General features: G+C 43.6%; 1 annotated feature.

Moving 5' to 3' along the window:
* Positions 329-736: a silencer, noted in NCBI's record as "fragment chr1:211721978-211722385 (GRCh37/hg19 assembly coordinates)". NCBI's record gives its function as "represses an EF-1alpha promoter that drives an FKBP-Casp9 reporter gene in an ReSE screen in HepG2 liver carcinoma cells {active_cell/tissue: HepG2}" and the evidence as "EXISTENCE:reporter gene assay evidence [ECO:0000049][PMID:32094911]".

Below are 22884 nucleotides of genomic sequence, written 5' to 3' on the forward strand. Positions count from 1 at the left end.
AGCCCACAGCAGGCATTCAACACTATTTATTGCATTAACTCAGGGGCTAGGTATGGAGGTCACAGGTGTGAGGTGAGGCTGAGAGGCGGGCAGGAGCCAGACCGGCAGGCCTCGTAGGTCTTGCTAAAGATCTGGAGGAGGTTGAAATGATCATGGCTGTGTTTGGGAAAGTCCCCTGGGCTCCAGGAGAGAGAATACTTTCTAGAAAGGTGATTCTTGACTTTGTGGGGTTTTGCGTGGGCAGGTCTGAAGATTTGTTTTCTGGAAAGGCAGCTTCTACTTAGAAGGGGTAGGGGGAAGAGCTCTGGGACTAAGGAGGTCTCTGCATTTTGACAAGACTACCACATGGGGCTGTAATTATGGGTAATCAGCCCTGTGCTTCTGAGTCAGCAGCTCAATCAAACCCTTTAAGGTGACAGGTTGCAGCACCGCCTCCTCCCTCCAAGCCTCCGCACTGGGAGCCTGCTCCGCCCTGCTGAGGGCTCACTTCTCAAGAGCATCAGGATATGCCAGATGCAGCATTCTCCCACCTCCCTGCCACCCACTCTCATCCCTCCCTTTCCTCCTGCACTCCTCAGTCTGAAGAGACTTTAGTGGAGATCAAGTCCAAGGGGCAAGAGGCCAGCTGAGCTTCTCAGTCTAACAGACAGTGGGGGAGGAGCCACCTAGGCACAGGAAGAGATAGGCGCTGAGCAGATAGCAGGCGTCACATGCAGACCCTCTCAGGGTGGGGCCACTGGGAGCCACAGGGCACAACCTGGGGGCAGCTTTCAGTGAAAAGCTGCCTCTCCCCAACATTCCAGCTATCCAAACAACTAGACTCTTTATTCAGCGTCTCCTAGGCCTACTGGGCTCCTCAGACTAAATTTGCCTTCTGCACATTCCCTGAGGGTTTTAATAACCTACCAGTAAGAACAACAAGTCCATTTCTACTAACCTAATAAGTCAAGCCAAGGTGGAAATACCTTTCAAGGGCCTCTCCCTTCCCAACTCAGCTGGACTTTCATTGCAGAAGGAAGCAAAGTTAAATTTGGGTTTGCTGTCAAGATGCACTTAACTATTTAGTTTTGCCAAGGAAGGGGGTGGGGGGATCACAGCTGGCAAGGCAGAATGTTCCATTCCCAGGCACTCAGGGGTTCAGAATTCTTTCCTACCATCTCACGTGCTGGCTTGTAGGATTCCTGCCAGCTGCTGACCTCCCGGGACCTGCTCCGGAGGCCTTGCCAGGCACGTACCACCTCATGAGACTGCAGGTCCTTGAGGAGGACACCAGGGCCTGCTTGGGCTTGCTCTGTCACCAACTACAGTTTACAGGGTAATCCCACATGGGGCATCCTCCAAGTACAGGGATACCGGTAACAAAGGAGACCAGATAGGAGGGAGCTCCCAGAAGCTCACAGTCCAGACAGGATCATCAGCGGTTCAGACAGAAGCCAGTCTCTCTCTGGCCCCTCCATCTCCACTCCCAGCCCAGCAGTTATGTCCATCCAGCCTTTCCATTCTCTCCTGGCCCAAGAAAAGTTTCTCTTTTCCCAGTTCCTACTCATGAAAACCTAAATATAGTGAACTTGATTCATTGGCTGATAGATTCACCTGTAGGGAGAAAAATTTTTGTTCATTTTTGGGGAATGGAAAGAAGGGGAAGACAGGGCAGAAACAGCATTTTGAGTTCCTTCTATCCTATGTTAGTTATCCTGGTGTTTGGAAGGTACCCCAATACCTGAGCTTGCAACTGGAAGGACTTGGGTTTGAATCCCAACTTGCCTTGTGTTGACTGTTTAGCTCTGGGCAAGCTGTTTAGCATCCCCAGGCCTCTGTAGCTAGAACTGTAAAGCGGGGACAAGGATTCCTTCCTTCAAGGGCTTCTGCAAAGACTAAGGTGACTGCAAAAGTAATTGCGGTGTTCTTATTATTGGAATTTGCTGTTTGATTTTGGAATACATTCTTATATAAATGTGGTTATGTTATACATCCTTTTAATGGGAATTTCTTGCTTTTTTTTTGCTAATGACATATTACTTGCTGTTTATTTTGTGTTTATTTTAGACTATGGAAATGATATTAGACAAAAAGCAAATTTGAGTAATTTTCTTATTCGAATTCAAAATAAGTCATAGAGCAACGGAGACAACTCACAACATCAACAACACATTTGGCCCAGGAGCTGCTAACGAACGAATGTACAATGCAGTGGTGGTTCAAGAAGTTTCACAAAGGAGACGAGAAGCTTGAAGATGAGAAAGTAGGGGCTGGCCTTCAGAAGCTGACAATGACCAATTAAGAGCAATCATCGAAGCTGATCCTCTTACAACTACACGAGAAGTTGCCCAAGAACTCAACTTCGATCATTCTACAGTCGTTTGGCATTTGAAGCAAATTGGAAAGGTGAAAAAGCTTGATAAGTGGGTGCCTCATGAGCTGAGCGAAAATAAAAAAATCGTCATTTTGAAGCGTCATCTTCTCTTATTCTGTGCAACAACAAGGAACTGTTTCTCGATTGGATTGTGATGTGTGAGGAAAAGTGGATTTTATACAACTGGTGACGACTGGCTCAGTGGGTGGACTGAGAAGAAGCTCCAAAACACTTCCCAAAGACAAACTTGTGCCAAAAAAAGGTCATGGATTTTTAGTGGTCTGCTGCTGGTCTGACCCACTATAGCTTTTGAATCCCAGTGAAACCATCACATCTGAGAAGTATGCTCAGCACATCGATGAGATACACCGAAAACTGCAATGCCTGCAGCCAGCATTGGTCAACAGAAAGGGCCCAATTCTTTCACAACAATGCCCGATCGCACGTCGCACAACCAACTCCTCAAAAGTTGAACAAATAGGGCTATGAAGTTTTGCCTCATCCACCAGATTCACCTGACTTCTTGCTAACCGACTACTACTTCTTCAAGCATCTTGACAACTTTTTGCAGGGAAAATGCTTCCACAACCAGTAGGATGCAGAAAATGCTTTCTGAGAAGTCCGTCGAATCCTGAAGCATGGATTTTTATGCTACAAGAATAAACAAACTTATTTCTTGTTAGCAAAAATGTGTTGCTTCTAATGGTTTCTATTTTGATTAATAAAGATGTGTTTGAGCCTAGTTATGATTTAAAATTCACGGCCCAAATTCACAATTTACTTTTGCACCAACCTTAATAAATAAGATGCAGGCAAACTTAACCCTTACAATCTCAGTAGTAAACTGTTAACAGTACAAAATTCCTTTCCCTTCCTCAAAATGTGGATATTGTGATCTGTATTTTAACAGATGAAGAAACTGAACTATTCCAGCCTGGGCAATATGGCAAAATCCTGTCTCTACAAAAAAATACAAAAATTAGCTGGGCATGGTGGCACATGCCTGTAGTCCCAGCTACTCGGGAGACTGAGGCGGGAGGATTGCTTGAGCAGGGGAGGCAAAGGTTGCAGTGAGCCAAGATTGCAACACTGCATTCCAGCTTGGGTGACGGAGCAAAACCCTGTCTCAGAAAAAGAAACGTAACTACAAAGAGATTAAATCATATTATGCCAACAGAGGAAATGTCTAAGAGATGTTGCAAGCCTGAAAGCTGAGCCCTGGCGGAAGGGTGAGTCTCCAGCGATGTCTAGGAATTTGGAGTTTGTCGAGGTGGGTCTTCACTCTTGGTAACCCTTGGGCCATTCAGCTTGGTTACTTGCAACCCTAGTTACAAGCAGGTTAGACCTCTCTATGCCAACAAGTTTGTGCCCATTCCTCTGCTAGATATCATAGGAGGATTTAAAAAGGAGTCCCAAACAGTCCCAGGCTGGCTGGCCCCCAGGCCGGGCAAACCAGACCGGCCGATCACTTTAGTTCTCATATTCACAGAATTTACAATCTTACTGGAAAACAAGACTGACACTCGTTGCTCAGAGAGGACCACTGAATGGGGCTTCTGGAAAAGGAACTAATACTTAAGTGCTGTTTACAAATCTTGGGCTGAGTGCCATTTCAGGATGACCCACTGAACACAAGCTACAGCTTTCTCTTTTGGCTCAAGTCCTTCAAATCACAGTAGGGAGAAACACATTTTTAGTGTCAGAATTTATTGAGGCATAACTTACCTATAAAAATTCATTCCTTTTATAAGCTTATGGCTTTTGACAAACGCATACAGTTATATAATCCCCATAATAGAGATAAAACATTTCCATCACACCCGCAAGTTCTCTCCTGTCCCTTTGCAGTCAATTCCCTCCCCGCAGCTCCCAGCCACTGGCAACCACAAATCTGATTTCTGTCCTTACAGTTTTGCCTTTTCCAAAATGCCGTTTGGCAGGATTTATATAAGGGAACTTTTTGAGTCTGGCTTCTTTTACTTAGCATAATGCTTTTGAGATTCACCTATGTTGTGTATATCTGAAGCTTTTTTTTTTTCTAAGTTGTGTTCCATTGTATCAAAGTGTGATGATTGTTGCCAGGTGCAGTGGCTCACTCCTATAATCCCAGCATTTTGGGAGGCTGAGGTAGGAGGATCACCTTGAGGCTAGGAGTTGGAGGCCAGCCTGGGCAACATAGACTTCCTCTCTACAAAAATAAAAGTATGTATATATATACATATTTTTTTAAAGTTGTCATGATTTGTTTATCCATTCACCAATTGATGGGCATGGGGATTGTTTCTAGTTTCTGGTGATTATAAATACAATAACTACAAATATTCACAAACAGATCTTTGTGTGGACATAAGTTTTCATTTCTCCTGTGTAAATGCCTAAGAGCAGGATTGCTGGTTTATAAGGTAAGCATATATTGAACTTTGTTAAAAATTGCCAAATTTATTTTCAAAGAGGCTGTACAATTTTGCGTTCTCATCAGTAATGAATGAGAGTTCCAGTTGCCCTAGCTCCTCACCAGCACCTTTTAATTTTGGTCATTCCAGTGGATGGGTAGTGGTATCTCATTCTGGTTTTAATTTGCATTTCCCTAAAGCTAATGATGGCCAGGTGCATTGGTACATGCCTGTAATCCCAGCATTTTGGGAAGCAAAGGCAGGAAGATCGCTTGAGCCTGGGAGTTTCAGACCAGCCTGGGCAACATAGGGAGACCCCATCTCTACAAAAAAATTAAAATGGAAGAATTGGCTGGGACCACAAGCATGCATGGTGGTGCACACCTATGGTCCCAGTTACTTGGGGTCCCAGGCTAAGGTGGGAGGATTGCTTGAGCCTGGAAGGTCAAGGCTTCAGTAGGTTGTGATTGCACCACTGCACTCTAGCCTGGGTGACAGAGTGAGACTCTGGGTGGGGGGGAAATAAAGAAGAATGATGTTGAACAGCTTTTCATGTGCTTATTTGTCATGCATACCCTTTATTTGAGGAAGAGTCTGTTTAAATATTTTCCTCACTTAAAAAAATGAATTATTTAAGGCTAGATGTGGTGGCTCAAGCCTGTAATCTCAGCTCTTTGTGAGGCCGAGCCAAGGCAGAAGGATGGCTTGAGACCAGGAGTTCAAGACCAGCCTGGGCAACATAGTGAGATCCCGTCTCTCCAAAAATTTAAAAATTAGCCAGGCATGGTGGCTCATGCCTGTGGTCTCAGCTACTTGGGAGGCTGAGGCAGGAGCCTTGAACTCAGAGGTTCAAGGCTGCAGTGAACTCTGATCATGCCACTGTATTCCACCCTGGGCAACAGGGCGAGATCCTGTCTCTTAAAAGAAAAGAAATTGAATCTTTGGTTCTAGTTATTATATTTGAAGAGTTTTTTTTAACATATTCTTCCAAGTCCTTTATCAGATATGTGTTTTGCAAATATCTCTTCCTAGTGTATAGATTATCTTTTCATTTTCTTGACAAGTGTCTTCTGAAGAACAGATCTGCATTTTAATGAAGCCAAATTTATCCATTTTTTTCTTTTGTGGTTCATGCTTTTGTAAGAAATCTTTGCTTAATCTAAGATACTAGAGATACTGTGTTTTCTTGCAAATGTTTCATAGTTTTAGCTTTAGCATTTGAAAATACAACTCAAAAATAAAATAAATCTGCAATCAAGCTCAAAACAAAAGAGAAACCCCTACTGGGTCAGAAATTGTATGAGATCCCTGAAGGGCAGAAAGCATATGGGATTGGAAAGAAGGTTACTGTTCTCACAAGAAGGTGGGATCAAAAAGGCTCCACCCTGGAGGAAGTAGAGTAGGTAGAGTGTGAGAGAGCCGGGGGCTTGAACCTCCACAGACCCTCTCAGCTACTCCTCCCTCTCTGCTCATCTCCATCTAGACACATGGTAGTAAATTACAGAACACCAAAGAGAAAATTCTATATCCTTCCCTGGAGGTAAAAAACTATTATCTATAAAGGAAAGAAAGGCAGATTGAGATGAGCTCTCATCAGCTATGTTAGATGTAAGAAGACAAACACAGAGCTGGGCTACTGAAAGAGGCTGAGGTGGGAGGATCACTTGAGCTCACGAATGTGAGCCTGTAGTGTGCCTGTGACTAGCCACTACACTCCAGCCTGGGCAACACAGTGAATTCTCTAAAAAAAAAAATTTTTTTTTTTTGAAGCAGAGTCTCACTCTGTCACCCAGGCTGGAATGCAGTGGTGTGATCTCAGCTCACTGCAACTTCTGCCTCCTGCGTTCAAGTGATTCTTGTGCCTCAGCCTCCAGAATAGCTAGGATTACAGGTGCGCACCACCATGTCCAGCTAATTTGTGTATTTTTACTAGAGACATGGTTTCACCATGTTGGCCAGGCTGGTCTCGAACTCCTGACCTCAGGTGATCCGCCTGCCTTGGCCTCTCAAAGTGCTGGGATTACAGGCGTGAGCCACCTGCATCCGGCCAAAAAAAATTTTTTTAAGAAAGACAAACAATACCTCTTCAGACATTAAGGGGAAATAAACCTAGAATTTCATGTCCAGCCAAACTAGACTCTTTATGAAATAAAGACACATTCCAATAAGAAGAAAAATGTATCTGTGAGGAATAAGTGAGTTTCAAGAAGTAGTGAGATGAGGCTGGGTAGGGTGGCTCCTGCCTGTAATCCCAGCACTTTGGGAGGCTGAGGTGGGCGGATCACCCGAAGTCAGGAGTTCAAGACCAGCCTGGCCAACATGGTGAAACCCCATCTCTACTAAAAGTATAAAATTAGCCTTTTGTACTAAAAGTACAAAAGGTGTGGTGCTGGGTGCCTGTAACCCCAGCTACTCAGGAGGCTGAGGCAGAAGAATCGCTTGAACCCGGGAGGTGGAGGTTGCAGTGAGCAGAGATCACACCACTGCACTCCAGCCTGGGTGACAGAGGGAGATAGAAAAAAAGAAAAAGATCCCCCAAAAAAAGAAGTAGTGAGGTGAAATATATGTGTATATGTGTACATACACAAAAACATATGTATGTGGGTATATTTATTTATATATATGTGTATTTATTTGTATATATAGGTTTTGTGTTGTTATCTATATGTAGGAATATATAAATGCTTATTATAAAAAAACAAAAACTTCTAAAACTAAATCTGTGATAAATTGGTAATTACCCTTGGTAATATCAATATGGATGAAATGAAAAGACACCTGTGTTCATGGACTGGAAGATGTGTTTGTTTATTTGTTTGAGACACAGTCTCACTTTGTCGCCCGAGCTGTAGTGCAGTGGGGCTATCTCAGCTCACTGCAACCTCCGCCTCCCGGGTTCAAGTGATTCTCCTGCCTCAGCCTCCCGAGTAGCTGGAATTACAGGTGCACACCACCACCTCTGGCTAATTTTTGTATTTTTAGTAGAGACAGGGTTTTGCCATGTTGGCCAGGCTAGTCTCAAACTCCTGACCTCAAACGATCCACCCATCTCAGCCTTCCAAAGTGCTGGGAATACAGGTGTCAGCCATCGCGCCCGGCTGCTGGGAAGATTTTAATTTTTAAATTTGGTTTCATTTTCCCTGAGGCCTCTTCCCTTGGTTGCAGGCGGACATCTTATTGTGTTCTCATATGGCCTTTTCTCTGTGCCTATGCATCCCTAGTGTCTTTCTTTCTCTCTTTCTTTTTTTTTTTTTAATGACAGGGTCTCCTTATGTTGCCCAGACTGGTCCTGAACTCCTGGGCTCAAGGGATCCTCCTGCCTTGGCCTCCCAAAGTGGCAGGATTATAGGCATGAGCCACCACGCCTGGCTGTTTCTTTTTATAACGACACTAGTCATATTGGATTAGGGTCCTATACTATGGGTCTCATTTTAACTTAGTCACTTCTGTAAAGACTTATCTCCAAAGACAGTCACATGGATTAGGGACCCAACCTACTCCCCTATGACCTAATTTAACCTTAACTATCTTTTTAAATGTTCTATCTCCAAATATGGTTACATTCTGAGGTGTTGGGTGTCAGGACTTCAACATATGAATTATTGGGGGACAAAAATTCAGCCCATAACACTATTCAGTGAGGGAAAGAACACTCTTTTCAACAAATAGTTTTGGGAAAACTGGATATCCACAGACAAAAGAATGAAGTTGGACCCTTATCTTACGCCACATACAAAAATTAACTCAAAATGGATCAAAGACCTATGTGTAGGAACTAAAAATAAAACTATAAAAGTCTTAGAAGGAAACATAGGGAAAAACCTTTGTGACATTGGATTTGGTGACGATTTCTTATGACACCAAAAGCACAGGCAACCAAAAAAATATATATAACTTGGACTTCATCAAAATTTAACTTACACATCAAAATGCACTGCTATGGTTTGAATGTGTCTCCTCCAAAATTCAGGTGTTGCCAATGTGATGGTATTAAGACATGGGACCTAAGAGGTGAGTAGATCATGAGAGTTCCTCCCTCAGGAATGGGCTTAAGGCCTTTATAAAAGAGGCTTCAGGGCCGGGCGTGGTGGCTCATGCCTGTAATCCCAGCACTTTGGGAGGCCGAGGCGGGTGGATCACCTGAGTTCAGGAGTTTGAGACCAACCTGGCCAACATGGTGAAACCCTGTCTCTACTAAAAATACAAAAATTAGCCGGGCGTGGTAGTGGGCACCTGTAATCCCAGCTGCTCAGGAGCCTGAGGCAGGAGAATCGCTTGAGCCCAGGAGGTAGAGGTTGCAGTGAGATGAGATTATGCCACTGCACTCCAGCCTGGGTGACAGAGCGAGATAACTTCTTAAAAAAAAAAAAAAAAAAAAAAAAGAGGCTTCATACAGCATTGGGCTCTGTCGCCCTTCTGCCTTGGGCCAAGTTCTTCTGATGCACCCCATTCTTCCCTTAACCTACCCTTAGGACCACATGGGAAGTTCTGCATGACCTGAGAAAGAAAAAAATTCAAGTCTGCATAAGGATGGTTCCTCATGGTATGTGGCATTAGCTGGAAGTGGACTGGCTTCCAAAGCATCACAGCTTTTTGCTCAGGGTGGGTTAGAAAAGACAGGAGTTACTGAAACACAGCATTACTCCTCCCCTCTGGAGGACGAGCAACATGGCACCCTCCTGGAAAAAGAGAGCTGCCCTCACCAGACACCAAACCTGGCAGTGCCTTCATTTAGGACTTAGCAGCCTACAGAACTGTAAGAAAATAAATTTCTGTTTTTTATAAATTATCCAGTCTCAGACATTTTGCTATAGCAGCACAAACAGACAAAGACAGGCAATATCAAGAGAATAAAAAGACAACCCAAAGAATGGGAGAAAATATTTGCAAATCATATAGCTGGTAAGGGATTAATGTGCAAATTGTAGAAAGAATTTCTAAAACTCAAACAAAAGACAAACAACTCAATTAAAAAATGGGCAAAGGGCCAGGTGCGGTGGCTCATGACTTTAATCTCAGCCCTCTGGGAGGCCAAGGCAGGAGGATCACGTGAGCCCAGTAGTTGGAGATGGCAAAACCCCGTGTCTACGAAAAATACAAAAAAATTATCCAGTCATGGTGGTGCGTGCTTGAAGTCCCAGCTACCTGAGAGTCTGAGCTGGGAGGATCACCTCAGCCCAGGGAGATCAAGGCTGCAGTGAGCTGTGATCACGCCACTGCAATCCAGCCTGGGCGATAGAGTGAGACCTCATCTGAAAAATAGTGGGCAAAGGACTTGAACAGCATTTCTCTAAAGAAGATATACAAATGTCCAATAAGCACATGAAAAGATACTCAACATCACTAGTCACTAACAAGCTGCAGATCAAAACCACAATGAGATACCACTTCACCCACACATTAAGATGGCTATCAGCTGTGACTCCCTGGATATCCACAGAAGCATTTGATAGGGAGCAAATGATTCTGCAAACACAAAATGCACATGTCAAACCAAACCATGTGAATCTGCATTCTTAAAACACATACAATGCAGATTTTCTTGAAACGGTGATCTCTTTTGCCACATTTAAAACAGATTTCTGGCCAGGTGTGCAGGTTCACACCTGTAGTTCCAGCAGTTTCGGAGTCTGAGGCAGGCAGATCACTTGAGGCCAGGAGTTTGAGACCAGCCCAGGCGACATGGTGAAACCCATCTCTACTAAAAATACAAAACGTTAGCTGGGTGTGGTGGCACATGCCTGTAGTCCCAGCTACTTAGGGGACTGAGGCATGAGAATAGCTTGAACCCGGGAGGCAGAGGTTGCAGAGGGCCAAGATGGCACCACTGCACTCCAGGCCTGGTTGACAGAGCAAGACCCTGTCTCAAGAAAAGAAAAAAAAAAAAAAGAAAGAAAGGAAAGGAAATAAAATGAAACAGGTTTCCGTTCACCGGACTCCATCTGCAAATGACCTCCCTAAGGAATGGCACAAGGAGAATGGGAAGCACTACTGTAACAGCACAAGAAATCAGAAGTTGATTAATTTAACTGGCTTATCTGATATGGCTCCACCCCCACACCCAACCTAGTTCCTCCAATGCATATGGACATCAAGCTGCCCATTTTCAGTTGCGATTCTGGATGTCCACAGACCACAATTTCATCAATATGAAATTCTACTAGCACGCAAGTTCTCAAGAAGGTAAAAATAATCACAGCGATTATCTACTGAGCTTCCACTAAGTGTGGGCTCTGTGCTAGCCACGCCCTCCGCATCACCATACTCTTAGTTGCCTAAGATGTTAAGTGTGAATGTCCTCCTTTTGCAGGTCAGTAACTTGCTCGAAGTAGCGTAACTCATAAATGCCAGGGTGAGCACTTAAATCAGTTCTCTGGTTCCAAAGTCCCTGTTCTCACTCGCTGCATTCAGCAGGCTCTCATTTTTCCAGGAAGGCAAAAATCAAGCTGGAAGATCCCCACTCCTGGGATCAAAGCATTTGCTCAAAGCTCCACGAGTCCAGGAAGTGATATATTGACATCAAGGTCAGGCTTTGAGAAATAGCCCCTTCTATTACCCTGCAGAGCATCCGAGGGATGTGGAAAACCTTGAGGCTAGAGCTTGTCAACCCACAGAATGCACTGAGTTATAAGGGCAATTGCCATCATTACACAACAAATCAGAACTTCACAAAGCCAGCCCTGCTCCTCGGGGTTGCTTCAACCCCAGGCATTAGTGACCCAGCAAAGGACTGGTGCCTGCTTAAGGGGAAGCCCAAATGTTAGAAATATTTGCTTTGGGCAAGAGAGAGTCTTCACAGTCTAATCAAAAGATGAAGAAATTGTTTCCAGAAACTCAGACTTTCCTCCAGGGCATCTCCTTCTGTCCTGCAAGAGCTGATTGGCTCCCACTCCAGGGCCTTTGCCCCTGCTATTCTCTCTGCCTGGAAGGCTCTTACCCCAGAAATCTGAGGAGTGTGCCTCCCCACTTTAGCTCTCTACTCAAATGTCTCTTTCTTATTCATTGAGGCTTTCCTGGATATTATATCTAAAATGATAACAACCCATCCCCATCCACATACACTCACTTATTCTCTTTCCCTGCTTTATTTTTTTTTCTCCTTAGAATTTATCACTATCAAATCTAATCTACATTTCACTTCTTTATCTTATTATCTCTATACCCTACTAGAATGTACATTTCACAAAGGCAGGGATTTTTGTCTGTGTTCACTGCTTTTTCTCCTAACACTTAGAACAGTGCCTGTCGCCTAATAGGGGTTCAATAAATATTTGGTGAATGCATAAATCAATCTGTGCTTCAGAGGAGAGCAGTGACATCCTGGAAAACTCCCTCAAGGTTTAATTGTGGCATGAAGGGAAACATCAAGAGATTTTGAAGCCTGGATTTGCATCTAGGCCTAGCCAGGTGAATAATACTTAATCTCACTAGGCCTCATTTTGTGGTTGGTTAGGAGAAAATAATATTTGCCTCCTGGGATTATAGTGGAGGGACCATTAATAATATTTCTAGGGAAAGGAAATGGGGAAAATGCTTGTGACATTTCCATGGAAGCAATAAGAGAATTTTGTTACCATGTGTGGGTCAAAATTTATTGAGCATTTATTTAATACTGGGTCCCATGCCAAGACCGTACATGCATTTCTTCAATCCTTATGACAATCTTGTGTAGCATGTACGTGATCTCTTTAGGGATATTTATCAAAGTGATTTGCCCAGGGTGATAAAGTTAGAAAGCAGGACAGGACTCCTAACCTAATCTGTCTCTAAAATCCGTGCCCTAACCACCGCACCAGATGTAGAGTTAACTTGTGTGCATAAAATGCTGGACCCTGGGAAAGTGGTGCTCTACCAATGTCCCTTTACTTTCCCTCCCAGCCTTCAGCCAAGTGGCTTCTGACCAATAATACCAAGGTGCTGCCCCTGCCACTGAAAAAGACAAGGGGCAACCAGGAGCCCTATGGATGACCACCTCCTTTACCCCTCCCTGCCTGGTGACTTGCTGTAGCCTTCAGCATTAAGGTATACTTTCATCACCCCACCCCTACCCAAGGTACCAGTACTGGGTATCTTGTCACTTTTCTGGGATTTTGCTTGTTTGTTTGTTTGTTTGTTTTGCTGTTGTTGTTGTTTTGAGACAGGGTCTCACTCTGTCACCCAGGCTGGAGTGCAGTGGCACAATCGTGTCTTACTGCAGCCTCCACTTTCTAGGTTCAAGTGATCCTCCTGCCTCAGCCTCCTGAGTAGCTGGGACTACAGGTATGCACCACCACACCCAGCTAATTTTTGGTTTTTTTTTTTTCGTAGAGATGGGGTCCCACCGTGTTGCCTAGGCTGGTCTCTCAAACTCTTGGGCTCAAGCGATCTTCCCACCTCAGCCTCGAAAAGTGCTGGGATTACAGGTGTGGGCCACTGTGCCCAGCCCCCTGTCACTTTTGCATAGAGTAAGTGATTTATAAGGGAACAATATTTTTACTTTAGAGCAATCTATCATTAAAATTGTTCTATATGCTCTGTCTAAATGTAAACTTTTCAACTTTTTGATATTAACAAGTGTCAAAAGTTATTCAACTGACTTTCATTTATTTGAACAAAAAAGTATATGTAGACTCATACGTACACGTTTAATATGTGTGTATATATATGTATATGTGTGTATATATATATAATTTAAAAATGTAGGTTGGCCATGTGTCCCGGCATCACAAATAGACAAAAAGGCTGAGTGTGGTGGCTCATGCCTGTAAACCCAGCACTTTGGGAGGCCGAGGCGGGCGGATCACCTGAGGTCAGGAGAGCAGCCTGACCAACATGGTGAAACCCTGCCTCTACTAAAAATACAAAAATTAGCCAGGCAAGGGGAGGCTGAGGCAGGAGAATCACTTGAATCCGGGAGGCGGAGATTGCAGTGAGCTGAGATTATGCCACTGCACTCCAGCCTAGGCAACAGAGCAAGACTCTGTCTCAGAAAGAAAAAAAAAAAAAAAAAGACAAAAAGTGCTTTTAAGACCTAATGTATACACTCAATAAAATTAACTATTTTTAAAAAAATACATACAAAATGCTAGTGCTTTGCTTTTTTTTTTGAGACGGAGTCTCACTCTGCTGCCCAGGCTGGAGTGCAGTGGCGTGATCTCGGCTCACTGCAACCTCCGCCTCCTCCCAGATTCAAGCGATTCTCCTGCTTCAGCCTCCTGAGTAGCTGGGACTACAGGTGCCCACCACCATGCCTGGCTAATTTTTGTATTTTTAGTAGAGATGGAGTTTCACCATATTGGCCAGGATGGTCTCGATCTCCTGACCTCGTGATCCACCCATCTCGGCCTCCCAAAGTGCTGGGATTACAGGCATGAGCCACTGCACCCTGCCATATTTTCTTTCAATGATGAGGCAAGAGAGAAGGTTTCACATGGCCCTGTGCAAGCCCTTTTCCACAAATCCCACACAAGGCAAGAGCAGTCTACGCCAGTAAATGAAAAGCCACATTGGATAGAATGAGCACCATCTTTTCTGTTTTGTGCATTGAATGTTGAATGAGTGTAGACATTTTCATGTCCTACAAAATAAGAGTTATCAAATGAATGTCACACGGTGATCAAATAGGTGTGACTTGTCCCAAAGTTATAATGAAGAGACGGAAAACACAATTTAAGACTTGAAGATGGCTGGGTGTGGTGGCTCACACCTTGTCATCTCAACAGTTTGGGAGGCTGAGGTGGGCAGATAACTTGAGGTCAGGAGTTCGAGACCAGCCTTGCCAACATGGCAAAACCCCATCTCTACAAAAAATACAAATATTAGCCAGGTGTGGTGGTGCACACCTGTAATCCCAGCTACTTGGGAGGCTGAGACATGAGAATTGCTTGAACCCAGGAGGCAGAGGTTGCAGTGAGCTGAGATTGTGCCACTGCACCCAAACCTAGGTGACAGAGGGAGACCCTGTCTCAAAAAAAAAAAAAAAAAAATACTCTAAGACAATCAAAGCTCCCAGAGCAGCTAGCAGTGTTCCGGAATGCCTGAGCTGCTGACTTGGAATTGTTCACTTGTTTCACCCACTCCACAGCATGTTCCCTCTGTGCACACTCAAGACGTTCTCAGGCAGCTCAGTTTTCAAGAAAAACATTGCTGGAAATTATCCATTGATTACAACAACAACAACAAAATCAGTGGAAGTGGATGTCTTCCATTAGGTGCCACACACCTAAACATTGTGGCAACACCTAACCGCCCATTCCTTCTATAGCCCACACACAGTCCTTGGGAACTGCCTCCCTGGAATTACAGGTAGATGGGGCCAGGCCTGCAGGGTCAGTGAGGTGGAAAACCACATCTCTTCCCAGATAGCCCTTCCTTTCTAGGCAAACCCTCCTCTTTCATCCTGGTCCATCCCTTGGGCCACTCTGCTGGGGTGAGAGTGGGGGACGACAGATCCCTGGAGGAGAAAAGAGCTGGCAGGGAGGGTGAGCTGCAGGTCACTTCATCAGGAGTCTCTCTGAGGGAGGGACATATAGACATCCCTGCTTGGAAGCTCTCTTGGAGATTCCACTCAGCCAAAAACTCTAAGAAGGCAGAGGCTGTGTCTATTTTATATATTATATACCCAGTGCTTAACATAAGGTGCTCAGTAAATATTTTAAGAAGGAAGAGGCTGGGCACAGTGGCTCATGCCTGTAATCCCAGCGCTTTGGAAGGTCAAGGTGGGAGGATCACTTGAGCCCGGGAGTTCAAGACCAGCCTGGGAAATATAGCAAGAGTCCTGTCTCAAAAAAAATTTTAAATTAAAATTTAAAAAATAAAAGAAGAAAGGAAGGGAGGGAGGAAGTAGAAGAGAGAGAGAGAGAGGGAAGCAGAAAGATGAGGAGAAGAAAGGGAACTTACAAGGAGGGGGTATAGACCACAAGTTGGACATGTGGTAGAATGTCCCAAATAGGAGAGGCTCCCATTATTGTTCCAAAGGGAAAGGAAATGGAGGACATGTTTGTGACATTTCAATGGAAGCAATAAGAGAATTTTTCAACTCAGGGTTGGCTATAGGAAAAGCAGTATAGACAGCATATGTATGATATGATTGGAGGAAGCCCCTGCCCTCCCATGTTTTGTCCCCTGGTGTGCCCTGTCATCACTTCTCTGGCACTACCAATGAGTGTGTATAGACCTTGGCTGCAGAGACCTCAGGCCCTATCTATGATTCCTGGGAGCGACCATCTTGCTCTCGCCCACTTTCACTCATTTGTTGGATGTGACTGAGTGATTGATGGAGTGGAGAGTCTGTCAGGGTGAATCATGGGCAGGGGAGGGAAATATGAGTTCCACCCCTCATTTTACAGATGGGTAAACTGGCCCAAAGAGGAAAACCAACTTGCCCATGGTTACAGTTAGGGGAAGAGCAAGGACCAGGACCCAAGCATCTGGGCGCCTTGTGCAGGATTCTTTCCACTGTGCCACACCACTGCCCCTTAAAAGGACTTCTCATAAAATCTCCCATTTCAGCCGGAAGGGTCTCAAGAGGTTATCAGGTCCAAGCTCTGCCCTTAGCAGAAATCACCACCAAGGATTCCAGCGACAAGAGGGCAGGCAGCATGTGCCCAAACACTGTTGGTGACGGGAACACCTAACCACCCATTCCTTCCACAGCCCACACAAATTGTTGCAATGTTCTTCTTGTTTTGAGCTACAACCATTTCTCTAAAGGAAACAAGCTACTGCTTTTCCTCCCCAAGTTCTTTCCTCATAAAAGTACAAATCCCATAATAGATCACTAGGTAAACACCTGTTTGCCCTCAAGACACCCCTATCTTCTGCAGGTAGTGTTTGTAACTAGAGTTACCTGGGAGTAAAAGAAGACTAATGATTTTTTAAAAGAGAGAGAAGTGTGGTACCATTGAAGGGAAATGGATTAATCAAGGTCTTAAGGATCACTAATTGGGCTTAGGAAGAGAGAGAGGAGAAGAAGGAGAAAAGAGAAGAGAGGAAATAAGGGGGAAAGAAAGAAATAGGAAGGGAATAAAATAGATGGGTAACATATATTGAGCACTTAATAAGGAGCAGGCACTGTTCAAACTGCTTTACTTATATTGATTCATTTAATCTTTAGGATAACCCTCTAAGAGAATTACTATTATTATCCTCATTTTTCAAATAAGGAAATAAGGCAGAAAGTTTAAGTACCTTACCCAAGGTCACAGTCAGTGAGCCTGGAATTTGAACCCAGGCAGTCTGACTCTAGGACTACACACTTGCTGAATGTGTGGTGAATGTTGCTGAATGTGTGGTGCCCCCATTGATTGGGGCCTGTGCCAGGTACTCTACAGAGTTAATGCCAGAGCTCAGAGCACAGACCGTGTGAAGACAGAACTGGGTTCAAATCCTGGTTCTCCACTTACCTGTTCTACGGAAGTCACTCAATTATCTTATCCTCAATTTCCTTACCTATAAATTGGAGTTAATAATCCATTTAAAAGTAAAAAAAAAAAAACAGGCTGGGGGTGGTGGCTCACACCTATAATCCCAGCACTTTGGGAGGCTGAGGCGGGTGGATCACCTGAGGTCAGGAGTTTGAGAACAGCCTGGCCAATATGGCGAAACCTCGCCTCTACTAAAAAAAGAAAAATACAAAAATTAGCCGGGCGTGGTGGCAGGTGCCTATAATCCCAGCTACTCAGGAGGCTGAGGGAGGAGAATTGCTTGAACCCGGTGGCCCGAGGTTGCAGTGAGCCAAGATCGTGCCACTGCACTCCAGCCTGGGCGAAAGAGCGAAACTCTGTCTCAAAAAATAAAATAAAATAAAAAGTAAAAAAATAACAAAGAGGCCAGGCGCGGTGGCTCACACTTGTAATCCCAGCACTTTGGGAGGCTGAGGCGGGTGGATCACCTTAGGTCATGGAATTCGAGACCTGCCTGACCAATATGAAGAAACCCTGTCCCTACTAAAAATACAAAATTAGCTGGGCGTGGTGACGCACATCTGTAATCCCAGCTACTTGGGAGGCTGAGGCAGGAGAATCACTTGAACCCGGGAGGTGGAGGTTGCGGTGAGCCGAGATCGTGCCACTGCACTCCAGCCTGGGTGACAAGAGTAAAACTCCATCTCAAAACAAAAAACAAAAAAAAACAAAAACAAAGAGAAAAAATAATAATAATAGTATTTAATTCACAGAGGGATCGTGAGGATTACATGGGCTAAAACATTTAGCACAGTTCTGGGACACATTATGTGGTAGATAAATTTTAGTTTTTTGTCTCATGTAATCCTCACAAGGGGATTGGAAGATTTTTTGGTTTCATGTAATCCTTGCAATGCATTCCATAAAGGATGCGTTTTCCCTATTTCACAGACTTGAAAACTGAGAGTCCAAGAGGTAACCAACCTGCCAAGGTCTTATGCCTAATAGGCGTGGGGATTGGAAGTACAGGATAAAGGACCAAGGACGAAAGGAGGAGGGGGCAGACTTGAAATGGGACAAAAAAGAAAATCTAAGAAGAGCCTGCTATGGTGAATGCCACTTCACAGACATCTCAGGAGGCCTCAGGAGGTTTCAGGATGACTGTCTCTAATACAGAGGATGAGGGAGTTCTCACGGGAGCTCTGAGTTCAGACTGGGGCTCATTGAGGAAGCTTGGGCTCCCACCAAATCCCTTAAGGATTTGCCCCTTAAGCTTGGTATCTCACCACACGACCACACGTATAAAGAAAATTGCTTGTTGTATTTCACTATTTAACCTTAACCTCTCCTTCCTACCTTAAAACCACAAATCAATGTTTCATGAACTTACTTATGCAACATAAACTGTTGCATAAGCATTAAACAAAATGTTATACCACCAGAGCAGTGGCTCCTGCCTGTAATCCCAGCACTTTGGGATGCTGAGGCAGGAGGACCATTTGAGATCAGGAGTTCAAGACCAGCCTGGGCAATATGGTGAAACCCCATCTCTACCAAAAAAATATAAAAATTAGCCATGCATGGTGGTGCATGCCTGTGGTCCCAGCTAGTCAGGAGACTAGAGGTGGGAGAATCGCTTGAACCCGGGAGGTGAGGCTGCAGTGAGAGGAGATCGCACCAGTGTGCACTCCTGCCTGGGCTACAGATTGAGACCCTGTCTCAAAAAACAACAACAACAACAACAAAAGAAAACTGTTATACCACCATTTACAATTGAACTCTAAAAGAGAGAAATCATCGTAATAATAATATAAAAATTTAGTGTTTAAGCTAGAATATATGTATATCAGTTTCTTATTGCTGTTGAAACAAATTACCACAACTTTAGTGGCTTAAAACAGGACAAATTTATTATTTTAAAGTGCTGGAGATCGTAAGTCCAAAATGAGTCTATGGAATAAACACAGGCATCAGAAGAGCTTTGTTCCTCGGGAGACTCTAACTGGGACAAAAAGAGAAAACGTAAAGAGAAGAAAGAAGAGCCCAGGCCAGTCTCAAACTTCAGGGCTCAAGTGATCCACCTGCCTTTGCTTCCCAAAGTGCTAGGATTATGGGCATGAGCCACCGCGTCTGGCCCTAAGTTTTGATGCAAATATTTAAATTTGTATTTTAATAGAAGGCCCTGGTTTTGAACCTCTTTTATAAAGCCAGAAACCCATTTTTACTTTATATTTCAATAGAGCTAACCCAGGGTTTCCATGGCCAATTCAGAAGGCCATACCTGCACTGTTTTCTTGGGCAGAACAATCTTCCTAACAGATCAGAGGAGTTCCTGGCTACCTTGTGCTATAGTGATCATTGTATCAAAGGTTATGAACCTCAGAAGTCAAAACTTCAGAGTTTCAATTTGACTATCAAGGCATGGAATCACAGTTCCTGGACTTAAAGATGGAACTGATGTTCATACAAAACACAAATATCTATGTAAAAAGAGGGGACTAGATGTAGTGTCTGGTTCCTGTGGGAGACACTGAAAGAGGACCCGCTGGGTTAGCCATCTATGGTTTCTGGCATGGCAATACTGCCTCTCTAGGACACATTTGAAACAGTTGGGGTGTCTTGATAATGGGGAGGGAAAAACGATAGCTACAGGCATTCATGTGGAAGTAAGCCAGAGTTGTTAAACTCAATGCATGGGACATTTCTGCACTGATGAATGGTCTCACGCAAATGCTAACAGCACCCCTGTTGAAAAGTGGATGGTCTTCTCCCTTTGACTCCTCATCCACATTTACCTCAATCACCTCTGCCCCCCAAAGATGCACTGTTTTCAGTGTAACCCTAAAGATATTTAAGCCAGCCAGACAATATTATGTGAAAACAGTACTAGTTTGTAAAGAATGGTACTTGTCCACAAGGCTGGATTAAAACCAAGAGAGGCCCTAAATCCTTTAAAAAATTGGAATTTCTCTCCCTTATGTAATTAAAAATAAATGGTACTAAACCATAATTTAAGAAGGTCTAATTTAGGTAAGAAAGTTCTGATTTCTGACTATTTTGTTGTTTTTTTTAATAAATATTAAATGCTCTGAAAATTATTTTATGTACTTATTGATTTATTAGACAAAGTCTTGCTCTGTCACCCAGGCTGGAGTGCGGTGGCACAATCTCAGCTCACTGAAACCTCCACCTCCCAGTTCAAGGGATCCTCTTGCCTCAGCCTCCTGAGTAGTTGGGATTACAGGTGCCTACCACCATGCCCGGCTCACTTTTGTATAAAAATTACTTTTCTTATTTCTTTTAATGCCCCTCCTTTGCTAGTACTCAGTGCCTATGCTTTGTCTATTGCTGCTCATTGGATGAAAATTAGAAAGAACTCTTCATTCTGAATTTACTTAAGTGGGTTGTTGAAAAGTCCAAAGTTGTGGGAATGCAAGTGACTTGCAGAGGACTAGATCTTTTGCTGAGTTCCAGTTCTGGCTCCATCACTGACTATATGACTTGGGGTAAGGTGCTTTAATATCTGTTTGTCTGTAAAATAAAGGGAATAAAGGAATACACCTAATGGGTTGTAAGGATACATGAAAGCATATGTGCCCTGATATGTAGTAAGTGCTCAGTAATAAGTGATCAGAAGTGCCCAGTATATTTGCGAAACCTCATCTCTATAAAAAAAAAAAAAATACTAAAATTAGCCAGGCATGTTGGCGGGTACCTGTAGTCCCAGCTACTCAGGAGACTGAGGTGGGAGGATCGCTTGCACCCAGGAGGCAGAGATTGCAGTGAGCCAAGATCCCGCCACTGCACTCCACCCTGGGCGACAGAGTCAGACCCTCTCTCAAAAAAAATAAAAATTAAAAAAAAAGTTAGTACTCAGTGTATCTTATCTATTAATAGTGTAACTACTGTATATCTTTTTCCATTCCTGCCATTCCTAAATATTCCAGACAACTTTAAATACCTGCAATGTGCTGGTCCCTGTGCTATATCCTTAGGAAATAAATATGGAAAAGACATAGTCTTGACCGAATAGAGTTTATAATCTAGAAGTGAAACTGGTTTTAAAATAAGAACAAAGTGCCACAAATTACTTGTTTTAAAAGAAAAAAGGCTGAGCTGGGTGTGGTGGCTCACGCCTGAAATCCTAGCACTTTGGGAGGCTGTAGGGGGTGGATCATCTGAGCTCAGGAGTTCGAGACCAGCCTGGGCAACATGGTGAAACCCTGTCTCTACTAAAAATACAAAAAATTAGCTGGGCGTAGTGGCGCGAACCTGTAGTCCAGCTACTTGGGAGGCTGAGGCAGGAGAATCCCTTGAACCCAGGAGGCGGAGGTTGCAGTGAGCTGAGATGGCGCCACTGCAGTCCAGCAGGTCGACAGAGCAAAACTCAACAACAAAAAAGGCTGAATAGAGTAGTGGGGGGGAAAATGATGGTCAATTCTGAAGGCTCAGAATTGTCTATGAAATTTATTTAAAAGCAATGTTACTTGACTTTTTAAATTATTTTTATCCAATTCAAGGAACAGCTTTCATCTAAATGTGCAATGCATAGTACATGAAATTTCAGGGAATATTGTCATATAATCTTTTGAAAGACCATATTGCCTGGGAAGATAATTGTTTTCTGAACCCTGAACAATAGACACATCGAGATAAGAAAAAAGTTTGGCCAATGGCAATCATAAGATACCACTGATTGTACTATGCATTCTGATTTCAGAAATGCTAAAATATAAGAAGAATGTGTGTGTGGAATCAATTGAAATGTAGTATATGTACATGTGGACATGTGTATTTGACTTTTAGCATTGAATTATCTGGTAAACTGATTTGTCTTCCTGTCTCACTTTGCCTACATGTCATTCCAAATATGTAGAGTACCTTTCCCACTTTCTTATTTATCTACTCAAAAAATTATTGATAGTGAAATTGGTAGTGTCGTCCTTTCCTATGAAACCAAATTTAAACTAGTTGTCATGGCACTTTTAACCTTTATAATCTCTTTATACCTCTCAACCCCTTAACTTTTTAACCTTTTTTTTTTTTTGAGACTGGGTTGGGCTCTGTCACCCAGGTTGGAGTACAGTGGCACTATCTCGGATCACTGCAAACTCCATCTCCCCAGCTCTAGTGATCCTCCCACCTCAGCCTCCTGAGTAGCTGGGACTACAGGCATGCTAATTTACCACACCTGCCTAATTTTTGTATTTTTAGTAGAGATGGGGTTTCCCCATGTTGGCCAGGCTTGTCTCAAACTCCTGGCCTCAAGTGATCCACCTACCTCAGTCTCCCAAAGTGCTGGGATTACAGGAGTAAACCACCATGCCCAGCCCTGGCTAATTTTTGTATTATTATTTTTTTGGTAGAGACCTGGTTTTGCCATGTTGCCCAGGCTGGTCTCGAGCTCCTAAGCTCAAGTGGATCTGACCCACCTCAGCCTTCCAAAGTGTTGGGATTACAGGCATGAGCCACCCTGCCCAGACCCCCAATTCTTTATACCACTATTCCTGCTCCCTTGCCTCTCAAACCCTACTCCTTTCCACTTTAACCTACATATCCTTTCCAAATTTTTTTTTACCTCTTCTTTGGAATATCTACTGTATATAGATCAATTCCTTTATCTACTGCCATTTATTGTCAGTTGATTTTTTCAACTGTTGTCTCACAGCCCAAAATACAAGTTCTTTAATGAATTTTTTTATGAAACTACATTTGTGATAGTCCTGAGGCTCATAGAACCACAATAATATACTAT

This window comes from Homo sapiens, chromosome 1 (assembly GCF_000001405.40).
Source record: "Homo sapiens chromosome 1, GRCh38.p14 Primary Assembly".
NCBI classification, from domain to species: Eukaryota; Metazoa; Chordata; class Mammalia; order Primates; family Hominidae; genus Homo; species Homo sapiens.